This window comes from Homo sapiens, chromosome 19 (assembly GCF_000001405.40).
Source record: "Homo sapiens chromosome 19, GRCh38.p14 Primary Assembly".
NCBI lineage: Eukaryota > Metazoa > Chordata > Mammalia > Primates > Hominidae > Homo > Homo sapiens.
Window position 1 is genome coordinate 19,847,879 of NC_000019.10, and position 22,726 is coordinate 19,870,604.

Here is a 22,726-nt window from a genome sequence, read left to right on the forward strand (position 1 = left end):
AGAAAAGTAGAATCCTTAAGAGAATTTAAAAGTATAAGACAGGGCTGGGCGCAGTGGCGCATGCCTGTAATTCCAGCACTTTGGGAGGCCAAGGCGGGCCGATTGCCTGAGGTCAGGAGTCCGAGGCCAGCCTGAGCAACATGGAGAAACCCCTTCTGTAATAAAAATACAAAATTAGCCGGGCGTGGGGGCGCAGGCCTGTAATCCCAGCTACTCGGAAGGCTGAGGCAGGAGAATCACTTGAACCCAGGAAAGGGAGGTTGCGGTGATCTGAGATCGTACCATTGCACTCCTGCCTGGGCAACAAGAGTGAAACTCTGCCTTAAAAAAGAAAAAGCATAGTCGGGCGCGGTGGCTCACGCCTGTAGTCCCAGAACTTTGGGAGGCGGAGGTGGGCGGATCACACCGTCTGGAGTTGGAGACCAGCCTGGACAATATGGTGAAACCCCATCTCTACTAAAACTACAAAAATTAGCGGGGCATGGGGCGGTCTCCTGTACTCCCAGCTACTCGGGAGGCTGAGGCAGGTAAATTGCTTGAACCCGGGAGGTGGAGGTTGCAGTGAGCAGAGATTCAGAGATTGCGCCACTGCACTCCAGCCTGGGCGACAGAGCGAGACTCGGTCTCAAAAAAAAAAAAAAAAAAAAAAAAGGCATAAGACAGAAGATGCCCTGTGTGAGAGCAAAATTTAAGAAAAGAAAAAAGAAAAACTGCCCAGAAACTATTTCCTTTGGAGCACAGCTTCCCAAATCACATTTTAAGGACTGGCTTTCTCTTTGACCTTGGCACCTCTTATCTGTGTTGTCTGTTGTATTCATTTTCACTCGCACCTACCTGGGGGTTTGGCAATCATCTCATGTCTCTTCACAGTGAAAGGTTTTTTTCCCTGCTCCAGACAGGTGATCAGGTCTGGCTTAGAGACAACAATACCTCTTTTATTAAAAATAAATAACAATAATCTTGCTCATATTCTCCAATTACAAGCTAGTACTGTGCTCAGCAGAGAGGATGTGATAAAATATTCTAGTAAATTAATACCAAAATACTAAGTTATAACAGAAATTTCTAAATATTTAGAAAATACTTTCAATTTGTAGGTTTCTTAATTTTACTACCTGGTACTGCTGAATCAAAAATTGATGGTGGCAATGAGATTTTCAGGTGAGGCAACAATATTTTATGTCGCTAAATTTCTGGAATTACCACTAATTTAGAGTGAAGAATACAGCTCATCTCAGGACTGTGGAAAGTTTAGATTAAGATAAAACCTCTTGAAAAAACTATTTTCTAAATTACCAAATTCTGAAAATTTTCTAAAAAAAGAGGATCTGAAACTCTTTTTTTTTTTTTGAGATGGAGTTTTGCTTTGTTGCCCAGGCTGGAGTGCAGTGGCACGATCACGACTCACTGCAACTTCCGTCTCCTGGGTTCAAGCAATTATTTGCCTCAGCTTTTTGAGTAGCTGGAATTACAGGCACCCGCCACCACACTTAGTTAGTTTTTTTATTTTTAGTAGAGACATGGTTTCACCATCTTGGCCAGGTTGGTCTTGAACTCCTGATCTCGTGATTCACTTGCCTTTGCTTCTCAAAGTATTGGGATTACAGGTGTGAGCCACCACACCTGGCCCTGAAACTCTTTTATGCAAAGAATAAATTACTAAAAACATTCTACAAAAAAAGAGAATGAATTATGTATTCAAGTTATCCTCACCAAAGAAGACCAGGTTTCTGTAGTTCTTTAACATGACATCCATATAAAAATTCTGCTGTGCAGTGTCCCGGCAATGCCACTCCTCCAGAGAGAATTCTATGGCCACATCTCTAAATTGCAATGGTCCCGAAAAGACACACATACACACATTTTCACCAAGTGGCCATAGGCAGAATTTTTAATTTGACTTAAGGTGAAATGAGAGAGTAAGGAGAACTGGTTCTGACTTATAGGACTGACTAAAATTATCCAGTAAAATAATTTTTCAACACAGAAACATACATTCTCTGATGTATTCTCTAACTCTGAGAAAATAGATCCACAACATCAGTTCATCTATTTTTCCATATAATAAAGTATAAAATTAAGGCCATAAACACGAACATGCATTTTTGAGTGCTGTATTTTTATCATACAGAATGAGTTGTGAACATTTTTCAGATGGAAAAGACATGTTGAGTTAGAAGGCACATCTCAAGTTTTGTTTTGTTTTGTTTTGAGACGGAGTTTCAATCTAGTTGCCCAGGCTGAAGTGCAGTGATGTGATCTCAGCTCACTGCAACCTCTGCCTCCCAGGTTCAAGTGATTCTCCTGCCTCAGCCTTCTAAGTAGCTGGGATTATAGGCATGCACCACCACACCTGGATAATTTTGTATTTTCAGTAGGATGGGGTTTTCTCTATTTTGGCCAGGCTGGTCTCGAACTCCTGACCTTGGATGATCTGCCCGCCTCGGCCTCCCAAAGTGCTGGGATTACAGGCATGAGCCACCGGGCCAGGCCAATTTTTTGAATTTCTAACAAGCTCACCAGTAATGCCAATATTTTGACCCAAGAAGGATATTTTGTCAAACATGCAGTAAGTGGAAGAGCTTGTGTTTTTCCCAGTTTTTCTAGCCTGTAAACAAAGATAGGAGCCTTCATTTTCCAAAGAGAAATATGTAGAAAAAAATAAGAAAAAAGGACAGCCACCAGATTAAATGTGATGCTTTATGCACATCAGCTGCGTAAAGATACTTAATATGAAGAGAAAAATAATTACAGTGAAAAAAATCCATCAGAGAGCTATTTCACCAAGTGAATCATTAACCATTAACTGCACTAGGACAAATTTTTATGATGTGCTAATGCACACAGAAGAACACAGCATCACTGTTGAAATATTCCTCCCCAAAAAAGTAAATTATAGTCTGAATTTAACCATAAAGAAACATCAGTTTTATGCAAACTTCAAACCACAGATAACTCCTATGTTCTGTAATTTTAAGTAGGCTTAATTTAGCACCCTAGAAAACAGGTATCTCCTAATTATTTATTTCAGAATTTTCTGGGTAATAAATGCCATCCCGTTTTAATAAGCATTTATTTATTTTTTTTGAGACGGAGTCTCACTCTGTCGCCCAGGCTGGAGTACAGTGGCGCGATGTCCGCTCACTGCAACCTCTGCCTCCCGGGTTCAAGAAATTCTCTGCCTCAGCCTTCCAAGTAGTTGGGATTACACATGCCCGCCACCACACTCGGATAATTTTTGTATTTTTAATAGAGATGGAGTTTCATCATCTTGGCAAGGCTGGTCTTGAACTCCTGACCTTGTGATCCACCCGCCTCAGCCTTTCAAAGTGCTGGGAATATAGGTGTGAGCCACCGCACCAGGCCTAAATAAGCATTTTCTTAATCCTGTTCTTCATAGAGCTAATGGAACACACTGTTGGAACCTCAACATTACATGTTCTCCATCTTTACTAAGGACCACAGTTTTCCCCAATAGAAATCTTGAGTATCCACATCTTTCCATGTTCAACAGCCACAAGGGAGCATTTTTAATATTGCAGATCATAAATCCTTACTGATAATTCTGCATGGCATATAAGAAGTTATGATGTAGAGAATGTAGAGAAGGCTCTGGGATATAGGAAAGAAATATTTTTCAGAGACCCTTGACTATCATAAGAATTTTAAGAAGTAGTTAAACCAAACTCATTAGGGAGAAAAACAGAAGTAGAGAAGCAAAGTTTTCTAAGTACTAAACACATGGCAGTCCAGGAGGCAGAGTGGACACAGCTCTTCATCTGACACATGTTTACCTGAAGAAAAGCCATTTTTTTCTTTCTCCTGCTTCTATGGAATTCATTCTCAGATGAGATTCTCCACACAAATTACACCTGCATATGGAGAATATGCCTTTAAAGGTGTCAGTACCACATGTTTACCTGCTAGCATGACATCAAATGGCAGAAAAAAGAATTTCATTCATTTCTGTCCTTTAAAACAGAAGAGATTCAGGAACAATGAGCTGCTCCGTGAAGTTAAAAATATAAGTTCCTCCTTTCCTGTCCTGAGGTGCCCTCCCCTGCCACAGACACCAGCAATTTCTGCTACAGTAACGGAAATATGCACCACACTGACCTGTTCCTACCAAACCCAAACAGAACAGGCCCTGTGACCACCCTTTAGTGCAAAGGTGGAACTTAACTCTCATGAATGTATTTGGAAGTCCTCATACCTGATTCTGGCCTTACCTTAGAGTCACATGAGGCCCTTCATTAAAACAACATGGATCCTTCCACCCAGGACAATAAACAGAAGCTGTGGGGAGGGCACAGGACATTTCCGCTAATTGGCCATGTGATCCTAATGAGAAGCCTGGGCTGATAACCACTAAGCTAAGCATTGCCTCTCAAGCTTTAATGAGCTTATATATCACTTGGTAATTTTGGCCCTGCTTTATGTAGTGTGATTCTGGAGGACTGAAAAGGGTCCATGAATGGGTGTTTTAAACAAGTTCCCTGTCAATGCTGATGTTGTTCCCCCTGGGCTCATTGTTAGCATTAGTTAGAGAAGCAGGAACAGCACAGGGTTGCTTACACTCAGCACTCTTGTCACAACCTAATATTTCTGGTACAAATAAGGACAATGCATGTCCATCCTAAAGTTTTATATTCTTTGCTGGCTCTTTAAAGTTTACAGAGAAAACAGAAGGCAGCAATGTCTCAATAATTCTGTATTTAAAGAACAACATGGGTCGGGCTCTGTGGCTCACACCTGTAATTTCAGCACTTTGGGAGGCCAAGGCGGGTAGATCACAAAGTCAAGAGATCGAGCCCATCCTGGCCAACATGGTGAAACCCCGTCTCTACTAAAAATACAAAAATTAGCTGGGCATGGTGGCGCGTGCCTGTAATCCAGCCACTCGGGAGGCTGAGGCAGAATTGCTTGAACTCAGGAGGCGGAGGTTGCAGTGAGCTGAGATTGCACCACTGCACTGCAGCCTAGGGTGACAGAGTGAGACTCCATCTCCAAAAAAAAAAACAAAAAAACAACATGTACACATGTACTAATGCACTATTTATTAGGCAGGTACTATGTGCTCAAGAGCATGATAGAAAGCACTGTGCTGGGCCTAACACGTTATGTGATTTAATCCTCGAAACACCTTGGGAGCTGGCACTAAGTGTTTAATAATTTCCAGGATTTAGATAAAGGGCCCAGCATTTTTTCTTCTTCTGTTTCTCTGTCATCAAAATTTTTAAAAAACTGTAAAGAGTAAAAGCTAAATATAGGCAGATGAAGGAGACATAGAAAGGAAGAGTTTAACATAGTTTAAATTTTATTCTGTTTACGTTTACTTTTTTGTGACTTGTGGAATAACTACTGGATCTGCAGGAAGAGAAAACAAGTTGCTAAATGACTCTGCACGCACTGGTTTTAATAGAGAATTTATAAAATATGACCCTAAAATACACACTTTGTTTTTCCTGTTTATGTTTTTGTGTTCCAGGAAATTGTGAACACCACTTCTAGAAAGGCAGCAGGATTCACCAGCCAAAACTCTGATCTCTTCTAATCAGTTCTGTGAGGCCAGACTCCAAGGTAGAGTCAGACCTAAATAAGGCCTCCAAAAAGGATAAATCTGAACAGGTCTGGGGCAGGGCAAGGCCCCTATGTAGAATTCTGTTCTCTATACCATTAGGGTACTTCCAGTTTTGTTTTTTCTAAGCTAACCTAAAAGAAACTTAAATCCCAGAGTTTCTCTAATTTTAATATTTTCTAGCCACTGTCCTGTCAACTTTATACTATATACTAATATGCAATTTAAACAAATCCCTTATGGTTTCCTAGGGTAATTTTATTAAAAAATAAATACGTACACTTAACAAAGTAAAATAAATAGAAATTATATGGCCGGCACTGTGGCTCATACCTGTAATCCCAGCACTTTGGGTGGCCAAGGTTGGTGGAACACGAGGTCAGGAGTTCAAGACCAGCCTGACCAAGATGGTGAACCCTTGTCTCTACTAAAAATATAAAAATTAGTTGGGCGTGGTGGCAGGCATCTGTAATCCCAGCTACTCAGGAGGCTGAGACAGGAGTATCACTTGAATCTGAATGGCAGAGCTTGCGGTGAGTCGAGATTGTGCCACTGCACTCCAGAATGGGTGACAGAGTGAGACTTTATCTCAAAAATTAAAAAGTAATTAGAATAACAATTCCTCTGTTCATAAATATCCCTTATGTGTAGATGTCAGAAATCACAACAATATAAAGGAAGTGGCCCAAATAAAGCTTAAGATTTTGGACACATCTATTTATTGTACCAACCATATGATGCATAATCCAATTATTTATCTGGTTGCTAGTCTAGACTAAAAGCTTCTGGGTTGTAGGAACCATGACTACTTCATGGTTTTTTTTTTAATGGCCATATGAGATGGAAGCAACTAGTTTATCTATTCGGGTCTCCAGATCTCCTCCTTGTTTATCATCCAAGTACCAGGAAACTGGATAAACTCTCATCTGGGTACCAACCAAAGACACCTCTTGTATGAGGGGAGGAACAAACACAGATGACTCATTTCTCTTACACTGAGACAGAAGCAGAATTAACCATTTTTGTCAACCTGACACAATTCTGTTCTGGACATCCTCAAATGCCTCAAAGACACCTAGGTTATTGTGAGATTATTAGATATCATTGGGCTGATGGCCCAATGATAAGCCAGGCTGCAGACTCGGGCTGTTTCTAAATAGAAAATGGAACTGCACTGGTGGAGCTCCAGAACTTGGATCACCCGTTCTGATTTGCTAGCTCTTGGGTAAAAGAAAGAACAAAAATACTCTACTCCAGTATCACATTTTACAGGTAAATATAGTTGTGGTCATGGCTCTGGATACTTTGTGGCCTTGATCTCTCACTCCAAAGATGCTTATTTACACTTACAGATTCTGCCATCAGATTCTATTTCCTCCTGGAACCTCTCACATCACTGTAGCAGGTCAATGAACAAGATGTGAAACATCTCACAGAGCCACATTCCCAAATGGGGGCTGTAAGCTGTCTTTGCTGACATCTCACAAGGCAGAAAATGCCATTTGTTAGTTCTCTGTACATTCACAATCCAAAGACCAGCCCTTTTTTGTAAATCCCAGGCAGAGGCCAGACCTTATCTGCAGATTCTAGGTAGGATCCACCTGGCTCTGCATCCTTTGGTGTTACAGCAAGTGGAGTACAATCCGAGGAGAGATCCCCTCATAGAGGCTCCTCTAGCACATTCTAAATGATAAGTCTACATGAAATAAAAAAAAAAAGCTGACACAACATCAATATAAGTAGACAGTTTATTTGGGTCAAGCTGAAGGATTATAATCTGGGAGCAAAGATTCAAGTTGTCTGGAATCTACACTTTGATTGGCATCAGTTACAAGAGGATTTGTAAAGATAACAAGAGAAGAACAGAGTAGGTAGACACAAAGTTGTTTGTCAGAAATTTTTATGTATTTAGAGAAATAGCATTTATTATTGATTAGATATATATAGTTATGGTTTAGGATATGGGATATAGTGTCCAACGTGTCATTATTAGTTTAATTTATAGCTACTTTTGGCAATCGTGAACAGTTTCAAGAGATGAATACATAGTTCAAAGGAGGGAGAAATAACTGCACTTTCATTTTCATGTCTCTGAGTTTGATAACCAAAGGACTTGCATTTTTTAGATAAAAGTTTTTTATTTCCCAAATCTCAAGACCTAAATTCAAAATTTGGAGCTGCAGATTTAGGGGCTGAAGGACTGGAGCAGCAGCAGATGTTACCTGAACATTTGTGAGCACTTTAGCAAGAGGAGAAAGGGGAACGTGGAGATTCTCATGTCTCTATGTCTACTAATGCACATGTTACTGTGATTGGGTTTCTGGGCTAAATAGTTTTTGTATCAGTTTCAGGCCTGAAGATACAAGAGTCATTGATAGAGGTAAAATGATTGATTGTTGCCCTGTGAAGTTTGTAGAAATGTGGTCTAGCCTCTCTAGAAGTGACTCTAGAGGACTATAGATACCAAATAGGAAGAGACACAATTCTGCCTCCATATTTAGGGGACAGCATGCATTTTGAAGTGCAAATGTGAGTTGACTGGAAGCCTGAGAGGAAAAGTCCCCTCTAGAGTAAATTCTGGTTGGCACCTTATGTGTTTTTATCATGTCTGGTAATTCTAGACAGTGTTTGGAAATGATTAAAAGAAAAATTTTCTCCAGCCCCAGAGAAACTCCACAAAAGTAGCACAGAAAGAAAATGGTTTTATTACACAATTGAACTTAATTGTGACATGCATCATCATCAGTCTGCTTAAGGGATCGCAAAGACAGAAAGATGGTCACCATAATTAGTTCACAAATAGAAGAATTTCCAGCGCCATGTCATACATAGTTCATCCTATGAACAGATTGAAGAGGCCATCTGTGTATGCTAATTGCTTATATTCAATGACAAACTTTTCACATCTTCATAACAGGAAGTAGTTTAGTAGCTTTAATCCAGGTGCCTTCTGAAGGTAGGCTTTCATTGTGCTACAAAAATGGTTGAATAGGGTTCTATCTTTTTGGCTATTTACATTTTAGAGCAGTGGCTCTGTACTCCCTGGCATTGGGTTACAGCACTCCTGCTTGCTTTCTCCTGGTTACTAGTGGCCTCTTTTTTTTTTTTTTTTTGAGACGGAGTCTTCCTCTGTCGCCCAGGCTGGAGTGCAGTGGCGCAATCTCAGCTCACTCCAAGCTCCGCCTCCTGGGTTCATGCCATTCTCCTGCCTCAGCCTCCCGAGTAGCTGGGACTACAGGTGCCTGCCACCATGCCTGGCCTGGCTAATTTTTTGTATTTTTAGTAGAGACGGGGTTTCACCATATTAGCCAGGATGGTCTCCATCTCCTGACCTCGTGATCCGCCCGTCTTGGCCTCCCAAAGTGCTGGGATTACAGGCGTGAGCCACCGCGCCCAGCCTAGTGTCCTCTCTTGACCTATAACATCTGCCACTGAGGCACAGCCTGGAGCACAGCTCACATTTTATATGAACCCCATTTGCCACAGCAGCACTCTAGTGTCACATCAGAGAGTGAGGCCTGAGCTGCAGGAGGAGAGCCTGCAGGCCTCCTGGGTAGAATTACACCTTCACAATCATGAGAATGTGATTAGTGTTTCAGCCTCAGTTTCTACCTATAGTAGGGACATGGAAAAAATACTGCTGAATTTCCAGCATAAGTCCAGATAGAAATAGCTCTAAAAGTTCTCGCTATGAAAGTCCACCTCATGTAGACACCATCGGATATGAATAGGGCTTTTGAAACAGACACCCAAAGCATTGGAGAGAAAAACAGATCTCCATCTGAGCCAGATTATTTTGAGAGAAAAAAGTTCAAAAGATCTTAAGAAAAAGCTCATATTAGATATAAGATTGATCAGCCAGAAGATATTCCCCTAAAAGCAATTTCTCTGTAAACACTCAAAGTGCACAGCTACTCTCAGCATGAGAAACATGAGCCTTATGAAAAAAAAGTGCAGTTTTTCAGAAGAATTTTATAGCCTTTTTCCCATCTTTGCTGGTCTGTCATCTCCTAGCCATTAAATTGGGGTTCTATATTGAAATACATCTGACAACTTTCAACAACACTTTTTGATGAAGAAATAGAAACTGACTGTGTTCATATAGTGGAACATATTAGAACTGGCAACATCGTTAACTGCAGAGCTATTATGGTTTTTGGGTGGCCACATCACCTGTCTCCTGTAATAACAGCATTCCAATTTAGTAAAATAAAAGATACACAAATTGTGTTTACTCACAATTTTCCCTATTGAATAAAGCAATAAACTTGTCACTAATATCTACTGTAAAAATTTGGTAGTAAATTTTCTTTGGATATTAGATATAAAGATCTAAGTATGAATAATTTTAATGAACCGGTCATAATGTATTCAGTATTTTTAAAAATTGCAACTACATAGCTGGGCATGGTGGCTCATGCCCGTAATCCCAGCACTTTGGGAGTCTGAGGCAGGCGGATCACCGGAGGTCGTGAGTTTGAGACCAGCATGACCGACATGGAGAAACCCTGTCTCTACTAAAAATACAAAATTAGCTAGGCCAGGTGTGGCACATGCCTGCAATCCCAGCTACTCAGGAGGTTGAGGCAGGAGAATCCCTTGAACCTGGGAGGCGGAGGTTGCAGTGAGCCGAGATCGCGCCATTGCACTCCAGCCTGGGCAACAAGAGCGAAACTCTGTTTCAAAAAAAAAAAAATTGCCACTACAGTTAGGTGCAGTGTCTCACACCTGTAGTCCCAGCACTCTGTTAGGCCGAAGCATGTGGATCACCAGGTCAGGAGTTCAACACCAGCCTGGCAAATATGGTGAAACCCCGTCTCTACTAAAAATACAAAAAAAATTACCTTGGCGTGGTGCAGCGCGCCTCTCATCCCAGCTACCCGGGAGGCTGAAGCAGAAGAATCGCTTGAAGCCAGGAGGCAGAGGTTGCTGTGAGCCAAGATCAAGCCACTGCACTCCAGCCTGGCTGAAAAAGCAAGACTCCGTCTCAAAAAAAAAAAAAAAGAAAAAGAAAAAAAATTGCAACTATACTTCAGTTAAAACACTTTATATTTCAAAAGTATAAATAAAATAACCATTTAAGCGATTAATTCAAAGTAAGTATTGTGGCTTAATATTCATAGGATTGTAGAATACAGTGTTTATGGCTCATGCCTGTAATCCCAGTACTTTGGAAGAGTGAGGCAGGTGGATCACCTGAGGTCAAGATCAAGCTGGCCAACATGGTGAGACCCCATCTCTACTAAAAATACAAAAACCTACCCAGGCTTGGTGTTGCATGCTTGTAATCCCAGCTGCACGGGAGGCTGAGGCAGGAGAATCACTTGAACCCAGGAGGTAGAGGTTGCAGTGAGCTGAGATCAAGCCACTGCATTCCAGCCTATGCAACAGAGGGAGACTGTCTAAAAAAAAACTGAGGTCAAAATAAGTAAACAAATCTTTTCAAGGTACAGATCCAATCACCCACCCCATCCTGTTCACTTACATGCGCAATAACCACCCTCCCAGGAGACACTGCACTATGCCCCAGTGAGTGCCCCAGGTGCATTTTACTTTGTAAGTTATTTATGCCATCTCACTGGGGTCAGTTTTTTGTCTTTTGGAGTGTTTTTTCACTATTTTTCTGCCCCTCCCACAAGATAATCCAGAAGACAGAAATTATTTGTTTTCCCCTCAATACCAGCATCTGATTGACTGACCAGCAATGTGTCTCCTAGAAATGAAAGCCAGGTTGAGTGAAGACAATCTTCATGTCTCAAGGGGTTAGCTTTTCAAAAAAAAAAAAGTGCACCAGAAGATGCCTTTCAGCCCCAAGGCTGCCACCTGCTCCCTTGAAAGTCTACACTCCATGCTTCAGGTGGTCCTATGGGAGAAAATGACCCAAGAGATAATAGTCACTAGACACTCTAGCAGACATAGCCATAGTGGGTATGTTGGTTTATTCCCAGAAAGTACTAAAACCCAGGACCAGAAAAAAACTGAAGGTTGGCTGAGGACACATCATCCTACAAAGTTTCCAAAGGGTAATCTTGACCCAAAAACATTCCGGTAAGTTCTCTGGAAAAATAAAAGAAAAAGAGGCGCCAGACACGGTGGCTCACACCTGTAATCCCAGCACTTTGGAACGCAGAGGCGGGCGGATCACGAGGTCAAGAGATCCAGGCCATCCTGGCCAACATGGTGAAACCTCTCTAGCTGGGCATGGTGGCACATGACTGTAGTTCCAGCTACTCAGGAGGCTGAGGCAGGATAATTGCTTGAACCCGGGAGGTGGAGGTTGCAGTGAGCCCAGATCGCGCGGCTGCACAACTGTAGGACCTCACTCCAGTCTGGCAACAGAGCGAAAACTCTGTCTCAAAAAGCAAAACAAAAAAAAGAAAAAAGAAAAAGACACAAATATTTTTTACAATACAGTGTCAGGGGATTATTCTTTGCTTTCTTCTCCTGGGAAATATTTACAAACAGAAAACAAATATTTTCAATAGTGTTATGCCATGCTTTTTAAAGAATGATTAATTGAGGAACATGGGGTACACTTGAGGCCCTGCTTGGGACACATGTGAAAAATGCCAGGGAAAAATCAGTTCCCTGTGAGGTGTGAAAATAATTAATTGCACTTTTTGTTAAATTACTATATTAAGGGAAATAAAATTCAAGCTTACACAACTATAAACTGCCAATTAAGCTCTGAATCATAACTAGGACATTTCCACCTCGATTGTACAAAATAAGAAACTACGTAACTATACCTAACCAACGATTGAATATGGTTTTCTTCATCATGCACCTTATAAATGTCTTTCCTTCAAGCCCCTACCATGGACCATAAAGTACAAACTATAGCTGGGTGCTCAACAATTCTTGAATCACTCTTTAATTAAATTATTTGATATTTTTGCGGCGACTCTCATATTTTTTTTTTTTAGACAGAGTTTTGCTCTGTCGCCCAGGCTGGAGTGCAGTGGTAAGATATCAGCCCCTGCAACCTCTGCCTCTTGGGTTCAAGCGATTCTGTCACCTCTGCCTTCCAAGTAGCTGGGATTACAGACATTCGCCATCACACCCAGCTAATTTTTGTATTTTTAGTAGAGATGGGGTTTCCTCATTTTGACCAGGCTCGTCTTCAACTCCTGACCTCAAGTGATCCGCCCGCCTCGGCCTCCCAAAGTGCTAGGATTCCAGGCGTGAGCCACCGCGCAAGGGCCCATACATTTTTAATAGGAGAAAAGGGAAACTGTGAAGACCAAGCACCAAAGCTCTTCCCATTCATGAACTTGCATCCTGAGTCAGGATTCTCCCCTGAGGACCCTCCCGTGGTCCCTGCACGATCTGGGAGACACGTGGCGCTGTGGGTGCAGAGCTGCCCGGAGAGGGCTCCAGGCCAGGGCACAGTCACTGCGAGGGGAAGAGACAGGACGCCGGGGGGCCCGGGTGTGAGCGCAGCCTCCATCTTACGGCTGAAAGGGACTGAGGCCGAGCTGGGCAAGGAGAACTTGGGGCGCAGATTGCGGAGCTGACTGCGGGGAGGCCTGAGTCCCGCCACAGCCACTTCCCACCGGTTCCAACCAGTTCCTCCCCTGCTCTCGTGATGTCCGACGGCACTCACCATTTCTAGGCTTCCAGGAGGTCCTGGCGTCTTAGCTGTGGATCTCCCAAAACCGTCAGGTCACAGGGCTGGGCCTCCAGCAGCAGAGGACACAGAGTAGTGAAGATGAGACCTGGAGCTCCAGGTGCAGTGAGAGACAAAGGCCCCGCCAAACTCGGAAGTCGACCTGTTCGCTCCAGCTGGGTGTCTGATTGGACGGTTTCCAGCCCAGTGTCCCTGATTGGATAATGCTTAAGGCCTCGCCCCTTCAGGACCTAGTGAGAGAAGATGTGATAAGATGCTGCGCTGAGCAATGAAAGAGTCACAGCCTAAGCTGCATCTTTTTCAGGCAGGGCTTTCTCCCAGAGCTGAGCCAGGCCCACCCCAGAGCATGGGAAAATTCTATCTCTTTTTTGCTCTCTCTTTTTGAATGTATTCGAAAGGTGAACGGAAGTACTTTGCTGTTATATTAATAATACGTAAAATTTTTGTTCAAGAGAAAATCAACTTTTACTTTGGTAATAGTGTATTATCAATACTAAAGCTAATTTTAATAAAACCTTATAAACAAATCAAATTTGTCATTTTTGACCTTTCGAGATTTGCATATATATTTTGTAATCTCTTGTAATTTTTAAACTATTTATATTTTACTTATATCTACATTCCTTTTATTTTTTCAATTTGAAACAACCTTTAAGTAATTTCAAACTGCTATAGGAGATAGAAAGCATTTAGGGACAGGGACTGTGGCTCACGCCTCTAATCCCAGCACTTTGAGAGGCCAAGGTGGGCAGACTACTTGAGGTCAGGAGTTAAAGACCAGCCTGGCCAATATGGTGAAACCCCATCTCTACTAAAAATACAAAAATTTAGCCGGGCATGCTGGTGCACACCTGTGGTCCCAGCTACTACAGAGGCCGAGGCAGAAGAATCGCTTGAACCCAGGAGGCAGAGGTTGTGTAAGGCCCAAGGGGTTCACCTTGCCCTTTGCCTAGACAGAGCTGATTCATCAAGACAGGGGAATTTGTGGAGGAAAAGTTAAATATTAAATTTGAACTCAATTGAACGTGGACACAAACAATGATCACCAAGTCCAGGAAGAGGTTGTGTGAGACCTTTGATGCATTCATCCAGTGCTGTTTTGGAGAAATCTCTATTTCCATCTATTCCTATACTTTACTTATTGAAAAACGATAGACAATCACAAAAACAAGTTGACCTTTTTGTGTTCCTTGAGCCCAGTCACTAAGGGCCCTCGTGACTGGGCTTTATGCCAAATAAAAGAGCTGGGATCCCAGATGGCGCCGAAGTTTCATGAGACCTCTCCTCGTCTGTGCGTGGACGAGTGGCCGACTCTGAAGCCCAGGCTGTGGCTTCCTGGTCTGGTGGTGAATCCTCCACAGTCTGGGGAGTGTGGTGTCTGACTCTGGATCCCAGGGCTGGAAACTCAAGGACTTCCTATATCCCAGTTCTCCCCCTTGTCATGCCCCATCTGGTGAGTTTTGGGGGAACTCATGACCCAAGTCATAATAGGAATTTCAGGCCTCATAAAGACATCATGGTTGAAGCAGAGGTGTTCTGTTTCCAGCAAAGCCCTATAGGAAGCTAACAATTGCTTCTAGAAAGAGGTATAAGCTTTGCCGGCCTATGACAGTTTCTGGGTCCAAAACCTGAAATGTACCTCTTCCCATCTTGTTTCTGCCTAACGCTCCAATTAGCATGTTGATCTAGGACAGTTACTTGCAGTTCTACTGGCCCATCCCGTATGGAGCATAGATCCAGGGCCAGCAGCACCACTTGTTTAGCTTGTTCAGAAGCCATGCTCTCCTTCTTTCCCCAGTGAAAGTCATAGTGTTTTCTAGTGGCTGCATGCAGAGGTTGTAAAATGTTACCCAAGTGGGGAATATGATGTCTCCAGAATCCAAACAAGACAATACATTTCTGAGCCTCCTTTTTAGCAGCAGGGATTTCAAATTCTAGTATTTTAGCCTTAGCCTTTGATAAAATGGACTATTTCCTCCCATTCCATAGGATGCAACCAGCTCCTATCTTGACACATTAACCTATAAGCAGTAAGCAAACACCATCCACTCTGGGAGATCCCTCAGCATCTGCTTTGCTGACTGGAATCCCCTGCAGCCCTTCATGCACAGTCAAAAGTTTAAATTGCACTAATTTAGATTCCCAATTCTCACAAAGGCCAGTTCCCCTGGACCATTCAACTGCCAAGGGGGAGAAGTGGGGGATTTCCCATCTCTGGATATGGGAAGTCCACGAGCCTCTAGCCCCGTCCTTGTGGCCAAAAAGTGGCACACTTTGGTTTTCGAATCCTGTTTGTGACACCAAAAATATTCGGGTGGGAAACACATGAGGGGAGAAGGAAAGACACACACACAACACCTTTAATGGTAAACAAGTTTATTCCACGTAAGTGGCAATGCAGATATAATAAGCAAATGATATAATAAACAGATCAATATAACAAGCATATTGATATAAGAACCACATTGATATAATAAGCAAATTGCAATGGGAAGAGGAGAAAGGAAAAGATATATATATATATATATATATATATATTTACACTCACTAGAGTATGGAGGTTTCACCACCAAGGTGGTAAGCAACAGCCTGGGTTCCAGAGTCGGCCACTCATTTCTGCACAGATGAGGACAGGTCTCATGAAGCTTTGGCGCAGTCTGGTACCCTCAGTTTTTTGTAACGAGTTGTTTGGCAGGAGGTCCAGTCACGAGGGCCTTCCGCAACTGGGCACAAGGAACACAAAAAGGTCAACTTGCTTTTGTGATTGTCTATTGTTTTTCAATAACTAATGTATAGAAATAGATTGAAATAGAGATATCACTGAAACAGCTCTGAATGAACAACTCAGAAGGCTCACACAACCTGTTCCAGGACTTCGTGACAATTGTTTGTGTCCACGTTTAATTGAGTTCAAATTTAATATTTAACTTTTCCTCCACAAATTCCCCTGTCTTGATGAATCATCTCTGTCTAGGCAAAGGGCCAGGTGAACCCCTTGGGCCTTACACAACCTCCGCCTCCTGGGTTCAAGCGATTCTCCTGCCTCAGCCTCCGTGGTAGCTGGGACTACAGATGTGCACCAGCACGCCAGGCTAATTTTTTTTTTTTTTTTTTTTTTTTGAGACGGAGCCTCGCTCTATCGCCCAGGCTGGACTGCAGTGGCGCAATCTCGGCTCACTGCAAGCTCCACCTCCCGGGTTCACGCCATTCTCCTGCCTCAGCCTCCCGAGTAGCTGGGACTACAGGCGCCCGCCACCGCGCCCGCCACCGCGCCCGCCTAATTTTTTGTATTTTTAGTAGAGATGGGGTTTCACTGTGTTGGCCAGGCTGGTCTTTAACTCCTGACCTCAAGTATTCCACTCACCTTGGCTTCCCAAAGTGCTGGGATTACAGGCGTGAGCCAACGCACCTGTCCCTAAATGATTTCTTTCTATCTCCTATAACAGTTTGAAATTACTTAAAGGTTGTTTCAAACTGAAAAAATAAAAAGAATGTAGATATAAATAAAATATAGTTAAAAAATTACAGGAGATTACAAATTATATATGTAAATCTCGAGAGGTCAAAAATGACAAATTTTGTTTATTTACAAGGTTTTATTTATGTATTTATTCATTTTTGGAGACGCAGTCTCACTTTGTCACCCAGGCTTGAGTGCAGTGGTGCGATCTTGGCTCACCGCAACCTCTGCCTCCTGGGTTCAAGCCATTCTCCTGCCTCAGCCTCCTGAGTAGCTGGGACCACAGGTGCATGCCACCACGCCCGGGTAATTTTTTGTATTTTTAGTAGAGACAGAGTTTCACCGTGTTAGCCAGGATGGTCTCGATTTCCTGACCCAGTGATCTGCCCTCCTCAGCCTCCCAAAGTACTGGGATTACAGGCCTGAGCCACCGCACCTGGCTTTACAAGGTCTTATTAAAATTAGCTTTAGTATTGATAATACACTATTACCAAAGTAAAAGTTGACTTTCTCTTGAACAAACATTTCATGTATTATTAATATGACAGCAAAGTACTTCTGTTCACCTTTTGAATACATTCAAAAAGAGAGAGAATATGAGATAGAATTTTCCCATGCTCTGGGATGGGATGCTCAGCTCAGGGAGGAAGCCGTTTGAAAAGGCTCCAGCTAGGCTAGGCGCGGTGGCTCACGCTTGTAATCCCAGCACTTTGGGAGGCCGAGGCGGGCGGATCACCTGAGATCGGGAGCTCGAGACCAGCCTGACCAACACGGAGAAACCCTGTCTCTACTAAAAGTACAAAAAATTAGACGGGCGTGGTGAGGCATGCCTGTAATCCCAGCTACATGGGAGGCTGAGGTAGGAGAATCGCTTGAACCCGGGAGGTGCAGGTTGCGGTGAGCCAACATCGTGCCATTGCACTCTAGCCTGGGCAACAAGAGGGAAACTCCGTCTCGGTGGGGGGAAAAAAGAAAGAAAAGAAAGAAAGAAAGAAAGAAAGAAAAAGAAAGAAAGAAAGAAAGGAAAGAAAGAAAGAAAGAAAGAAAGAAAGAAAGAAAGAAAGAAAGAAAGAAAGAAAGAAAGAAAGAAAGAAAGAAAGAAAGAAAGAAAGAAAGAAAGAAAGAAAGAAAGAAAAGGCTGCAGCCTAGGCTGTCACTCTTTCTTCACTCAGCCCAGTATCTGATCACATCTGTCACTCAGCGGCTGGGGAGGCGGGGCCTTAGGCATTATCCAATGAGGGACGCTGGGCCGGAAACCGTCCAATCAGGCACGCAGCTGGAGCGAACCACATGGTTTCTGGGGGCCTTTGTTTCTCGCTGCAGCGGGAGCTCCAGGTTTATCCTCAGTGTTCTGTGTCCTGTGCTTATAGAGGCCCGTCCTCTGTGGCCGTGTGACCTGCAAGTATTGGGAGAGCCACAGCTAAACCCCGGGACCCCTGGAAGCCTAGAAATGGTGAGTGCCGGGTCCAACGTCCCGAGAGAGGGGAGAGGCTGTTTGGAACGGTGGGAAGTGGCTCTGGCGGGACTCTGCTTCCTCACAGTCAGCTCCACAATCTGCCGCCGGAGTTCTCCCTGCCCAGCTCGGCCTCAGTCCCCTTCAGCCATAAGATGGCGGCTGCGGTGACATCCGGGGCCCGGCACAGTGATTGTGCCCTGGCCTGGAGCCCTCTTTCAGCAGCTCTGCACCCGCAGCACCGCGTCTCTCCCAGATCATGCAAGGACCACGGGAGGGTCGTCAGGGGAGAATCCTGACTCGGTTCCCTGCGGGTTCATGAATGGGAAGAGCTTTGGTCCGTGAGGTTGTTAGAAACAAGCGCTTGGTGCCGCAAAACAACACAAAACAAAAAACTACCCAGCACTTAGAAAATTTCACAGGAAGGCATATTTACTTCTGAAGAAGAGTGCTGCTCGCGTCCGACCTGATCGCAAGAGCACACAGAAGAAAGGAAGGAAGGTTTTTTTTTTTTTTGAGGCGGAGTTTTGCTCTTGTGGCCCAGGCTAAAGTACAATGGCGCGATCTCGGCTCACTGCAACCTCCGTCTCCCGGGTTCAAGTGATTCTCCTGCCTCAGCCTCCCGAGTAGCTGGGGTTACAGGCATGCGTCACCACACCCGGCTGATTTTGTATTTTTAGTAGACATGCCGTTTCACCATGTTGGTCAGGCTGGTTTTGAACTCCCGAACTCAGTTGATCCGCCCGCCTCGGCCTCCCAGTTTGAAAGGGGTTTTTAACCCTAAACGCCGTTATTGCCTCTGTGTCCTTCCCCCATTGGCCGGGGTCTGACCTCACAATCTAGGCTGACCCGATTGGCTACTTTCCAAATAAGGAAGGGGTTCGGGTCGCAGATTGGAACAGGCGGTTTGGGTTGTTTACGGAGCGGGTGTCTAGGTACAAAGAGGTACAAAAAAGTTGGTCCTAAGAACAAGGAACAAGAAAGTTAGGCCCTTGAAGAGGAATCTATTATATCTGTCAGGGTTCACAGTTTCCCTTTTCTCCTATTAAAAATTTATGGGGCCGGGCGCGGTGGCTCACGCCTGTAATAACAACACTTCAGGAGGTCGAGGTGGATGGATCACTTGAGGTCAGGAGTTGAAGACCAGCCTGGCCAAAATGGGGAAACCCCATCTCTACTAAAAGTACAAAAATTAGCTGGGTGTGATGGCGAATGTCTGGTTTTCTGTTTCTGCATTAGTTTTCTGAAATAATGGTCTACAGCTTTATTGATGTTATTGCAAAGGACATGATCATTTATTTTTAAATGGCCAGAGAGTATTCCATGATATTTATGTACCATATTTTGTTTTTACTAAATCTTTTATTTTATTTTATTTTTGGAGACAGAGTGTCACTTATTGCCCAGGCTAGAGTGCTGTGGAGTGATGCAGCCTTATTTAGCCTCAACCTCCCTGGCTCAAGCAATTCTCTCCTACCTCATCCTTTCACGTAGCTTGATCTACACGCTGGTGTTACCACGCCTGGCCAATTTTTCTCTTTGTATTTTCTGTGGAGACAGGATTTTGCAATGTTGCCCAGGTTGGTCTTAAACTTCTAAGCTCAGGCAATCCACCTGCCTCAGCCTCCCAGAGTGCTGGGATTACAGGCATGAGCCACCGCATCTGACCATACCGTGTTTTCTTTATCCAGTCTACCACTGATAGGGCCTGTCCATGTCTTTGCTATTGTGAATAGTGCTGCAATGAACATACATATGAATGTATCTTTATAATACAATAATTTATATTTCTTTGGGTATATACCCAATTATGAGGTAGAGTATAAGCATTCCCTTTTCTCTGCAACCTTGCCAGCATCTGTTATTTTTTGACTTTTTAAAAATAGCCATTCTGACTGGTGTGATGTGGTATCTCATTGTGGTTTCTCTTAATTTCTCTAATGATTAGTGATGAGCTTTTTTTTTTTCATATGCTTGCTAGCCACATGTATATGTTCTTTTGAAAAGCATCTATTCATGTTTTTTTGGCCTATTTTTTAATGAGATTTTTTTTTTCTTGTAAACTTGTTTAAGTTCTTAATAAATTCTGGATATTAGACTTTTGTCAGAGGCAAAGTTTGCAAATTTTTTTTATTCTGTAGGTTGTCTGTTTACTCTGTTAATAGTTTCCTTTGCTGTGAAGAAGCTCTTTAGTTCAAATAGGTCCCATTGTCAATTTTTGCTTTTGTTGCAATTGCTTTTGGTAGCTTCATCATGAAGTGTTTGCCAGTTTCTGTGTCTAGAATGGTACTTCCTAGGTTATCTTGCAAGGTTTCTTACAATTTTAAGTTTTTCATTTAAGTCTTTAATTAATCTTGAGTTGATTTTGTATATTGTGTAATGAAGGGGTCCACTTTCAGTCTTCTACATAGTGCTAGCTAGTTATTCCAGCACCATTTATTAAATGGAGAATTCTTTCCACATTTCTCTTATCAGCTTTGCCAAAAATCTGATGATGGTAGGAGGGTGGCATTATTTCTGGGCTCTCTATTCTGTTGCATTGGTCTTGTGCACTCATGAACTTTTTTTTATAATATCTTTCTCTCTTCTGCTTTTTCCCCCATAAGCATTTTTTCAAGTGCATACAGTGTGTAAAATTCTGATGTCCAAGAGTTCAAAAACTCTTTAAAAAGTTCCAAAAAAGGGGATTGGGGGGCTAGGGGAGGGACAGCATTAGGAGAAATACCTAGTGTAAATAATGGTTTGATGGGTGCAGCAAACCTTCATGGCACGTGTATACCTATGTAACAAACCTGCACGTTATGCACATGTACCCCAGAACTTTAAAGTATAATAAATAAATAAAAAGCTTAAAAAATATTTTGATATTCTCTCTTTTCTTAAGGAATTTAGGTTATATGTAGATGCTTTTCTCTGCTTTTTTTGAAATACATGTAAATCATATGAACAGCTAAATAAACCCTTTGTCATTTTCTCGGGTCCAGATTATCTTTATGTAGTACTTCAGAATTATTGCTTTATTTTTGCTTCTGAAAAGTTTATTTTTTTCATTTTTAGTCCTTTAAATTAGACACAGATTTGTTTAGATAAAAGCTCATTTTAAGAGCACACAGAAGCTTAGCAGAAAGATAGGATTAAATTTAGCAATGCAGAATGCTAAAGACTAAAAGGTATTAAGTTTCTTTTACAGAAACCTGATTATCCAAGGTAATTATCCAATATTTGCAGGCTGAAGTACTTATACTGCAAAAGCAAGAACAGTGCATAAACAGTGGAGTCTGTAGTTGTATCTTGCTTTCTATTTATTACTTCAGAACAATTAGGATAGTTATGTGTAGGGTTTGTAGGCAAACTGCATTAATATAAATTAAACATTTTTTTTTTCGAGGTGTTTTGCTCTTGTTGTCCAGGATGGTGTGCAATGGTTTGATCTCGGCTCAGGCAAACTCTGCCTCCCAGGTTCAAGCAATTTTCCTGTCTCAGCTCCCAGTAGCTGGGATTACAGGCATGCACCACCAGGCCCAGCTCATTTTGTATTTTTAATAGAGATGCGGTTTTTCCATGTTGATCAGGCTGGTCTTGAACTCCTGACCTCAGGTGATCTGCCTGCCTCAGCCTCCCGAAGTGATGGGATTACAGGCATGAGCCACCATGCCTGGCCTTTTTTTTTTTTTTTTTTTTTTTTTTTAAAAAACAGTCTTACTCTGTTGCCCAGGCTGGAGTGCAGTGGTGTAATCTTGGCTCACTGCAATCACTGCCTTCTGGTTTCAAGTAATTCTCCTGCCTCAGCCTCCCGAGTGGCTGGGAATACAGGCATGCACCACCATGTCCGGCTACTTTTTTGTATTTTTAGTAGAGACAGGATTTCACCATGTTGGTCAGACTGGTCTCGAACTCCTGACCTCAGGTGATGCACCTGCTTCAGCCTCCAAAAGTGCTGGTATTACCGGTGTGAGCCAAAAACAATATTTTCTACAATAGTATGAACATAAAGCCACAATACTTACTTTGAATGATTCACTTAAATGGTTATTTTAATATTGTTATTTATACTTTTGAAATATAAAGTGTTTTAACTGAAGTATAGTTGCAGTTTTTAAAAATACTACATACATTGCCGAGTGCAGTGGCTCACACCTGTAATTCCAACACTTTGAGAGGCTGAGGCAGGTTAATTACCTGAGGTCAGGAGTTCGACACCAGCCTGACATGGTGTAACCCCATCTCTACTAAAAATAAAAAATTAGCTGGGTGTGGTGGCACGCGCCTGTAATCCCAGCTACTTGGCAGGCTGAGGCAGGAGAATCGCTTGTTCCTGGGAGGCAGAAGTTGCAGTGAGCTGAGATTGCACCATTTCACTCCAGCCTGGGTGACAGAATGAGATTGTGTCTCAAAAAAAAAAAAAAAAGCTACATATATTATGACCTGTTCATTAAAATTATTCATAGTTAGATATTTATATCTAATGTCCAAAGAAAATTTACTACCAAATTGTTAGAGTAGATATTAGTCTGACATGTTTATTACTTTACTCAATAGGAATAATTATGAGTAAACACAATTTTATTATCTTTTATTTCACTAAGTTGGAATGCTGCTATTACA

At 42.5% G+C, this 22,726-nt stretch overlaps 1 protein-coding gene, 1 long non-coding RNA gene and 1 pseudogene across 5 annotated transcripts in view, besides 2 other annotated features; 2 read left to right on the plus strand and 1 right to left on the minus strand.

Moving 5' to 3' along the window:
• On the plus strand, positions 9,097-9,649 carry BNIP3P9 (BCL2 interacting protein 3 pseudogene 9; annotated as a pseudogene).
• Positions 10,942-22,599, minus strand: LOC124904664 (uncharacterized). 2 transcript variants are annotated; one of them, XR_007067169.1, is made up of 4 exons: positions 18,558-22,599; positions 15,757-15,931; positions 13,185-13,438; positions 10,942-11,441 (listed from the first exon to the last, which is right to left on the minus strand). It is a non-coding gene; the product is annotated as an uncharacterized LOC124904664 (long non-coding RNA). The 2 variants fall into 2 exon arrangements; XR_007067168.1 differs by lacking the exon at positions 10,942-11,441 and adding an exon at positions 11,801-11,931.
• Positions 13,011-13,561: an enhancer, noted in NCBI's record as "H3K27ac-H3K4me1 hESC enhancer chr19:19971698-19972248 (GRCh37/hg19 assembly coordinates)". NCBI's record gives its function as "activates a minimal SCP1, AML or CMV promoter by ChIP-STARR-seq in naive H9 embryonic stem cells {active_cell/tissue: H9 hESC(naive)}" and the evidence as "EXISTENCE:reporter gene assay evidence [ECO:0000049][PMID:30033119]".
• The window catches only part of ZNF253 (zinc finger protein 253), a 28,845-nt gene continuing 24,070 nt past the window's right edge, over positions 17,952-22,726 (plus strand). For 2 of the 3 annotated variants that reach the window (NM_001331133.1, NM_001331134.1), the window contains exon 1: positions 17,952-18,121. Coding sequence is in view for 1 of the 3 variants with exons in the window: in NM_021047.3 (NP_066385.2) it covers positions 18,119-18,121 (3 nt within the window). In the remaining 2 variants the exon portion in view is untranslated. The remainder of the gene's footprint in view (positions 18,122-22,726) is intronic. The other variant, NM_021047.3, reaches the window with a different exon arrangement.
• Positions 18,035-18,464: an enhancer, noted in NCBI's record as "active region_14375". NCBI's record gives its function as "activates an Ori minimal core promoter by ATAC-STARR-seq in GM12878 lymphoblastoid cells {active_cell/tissue: GM12878}" and the evidence as "EXISTENCE:reporter gene assay evidence [ECO:0000049][PMID:35858748]".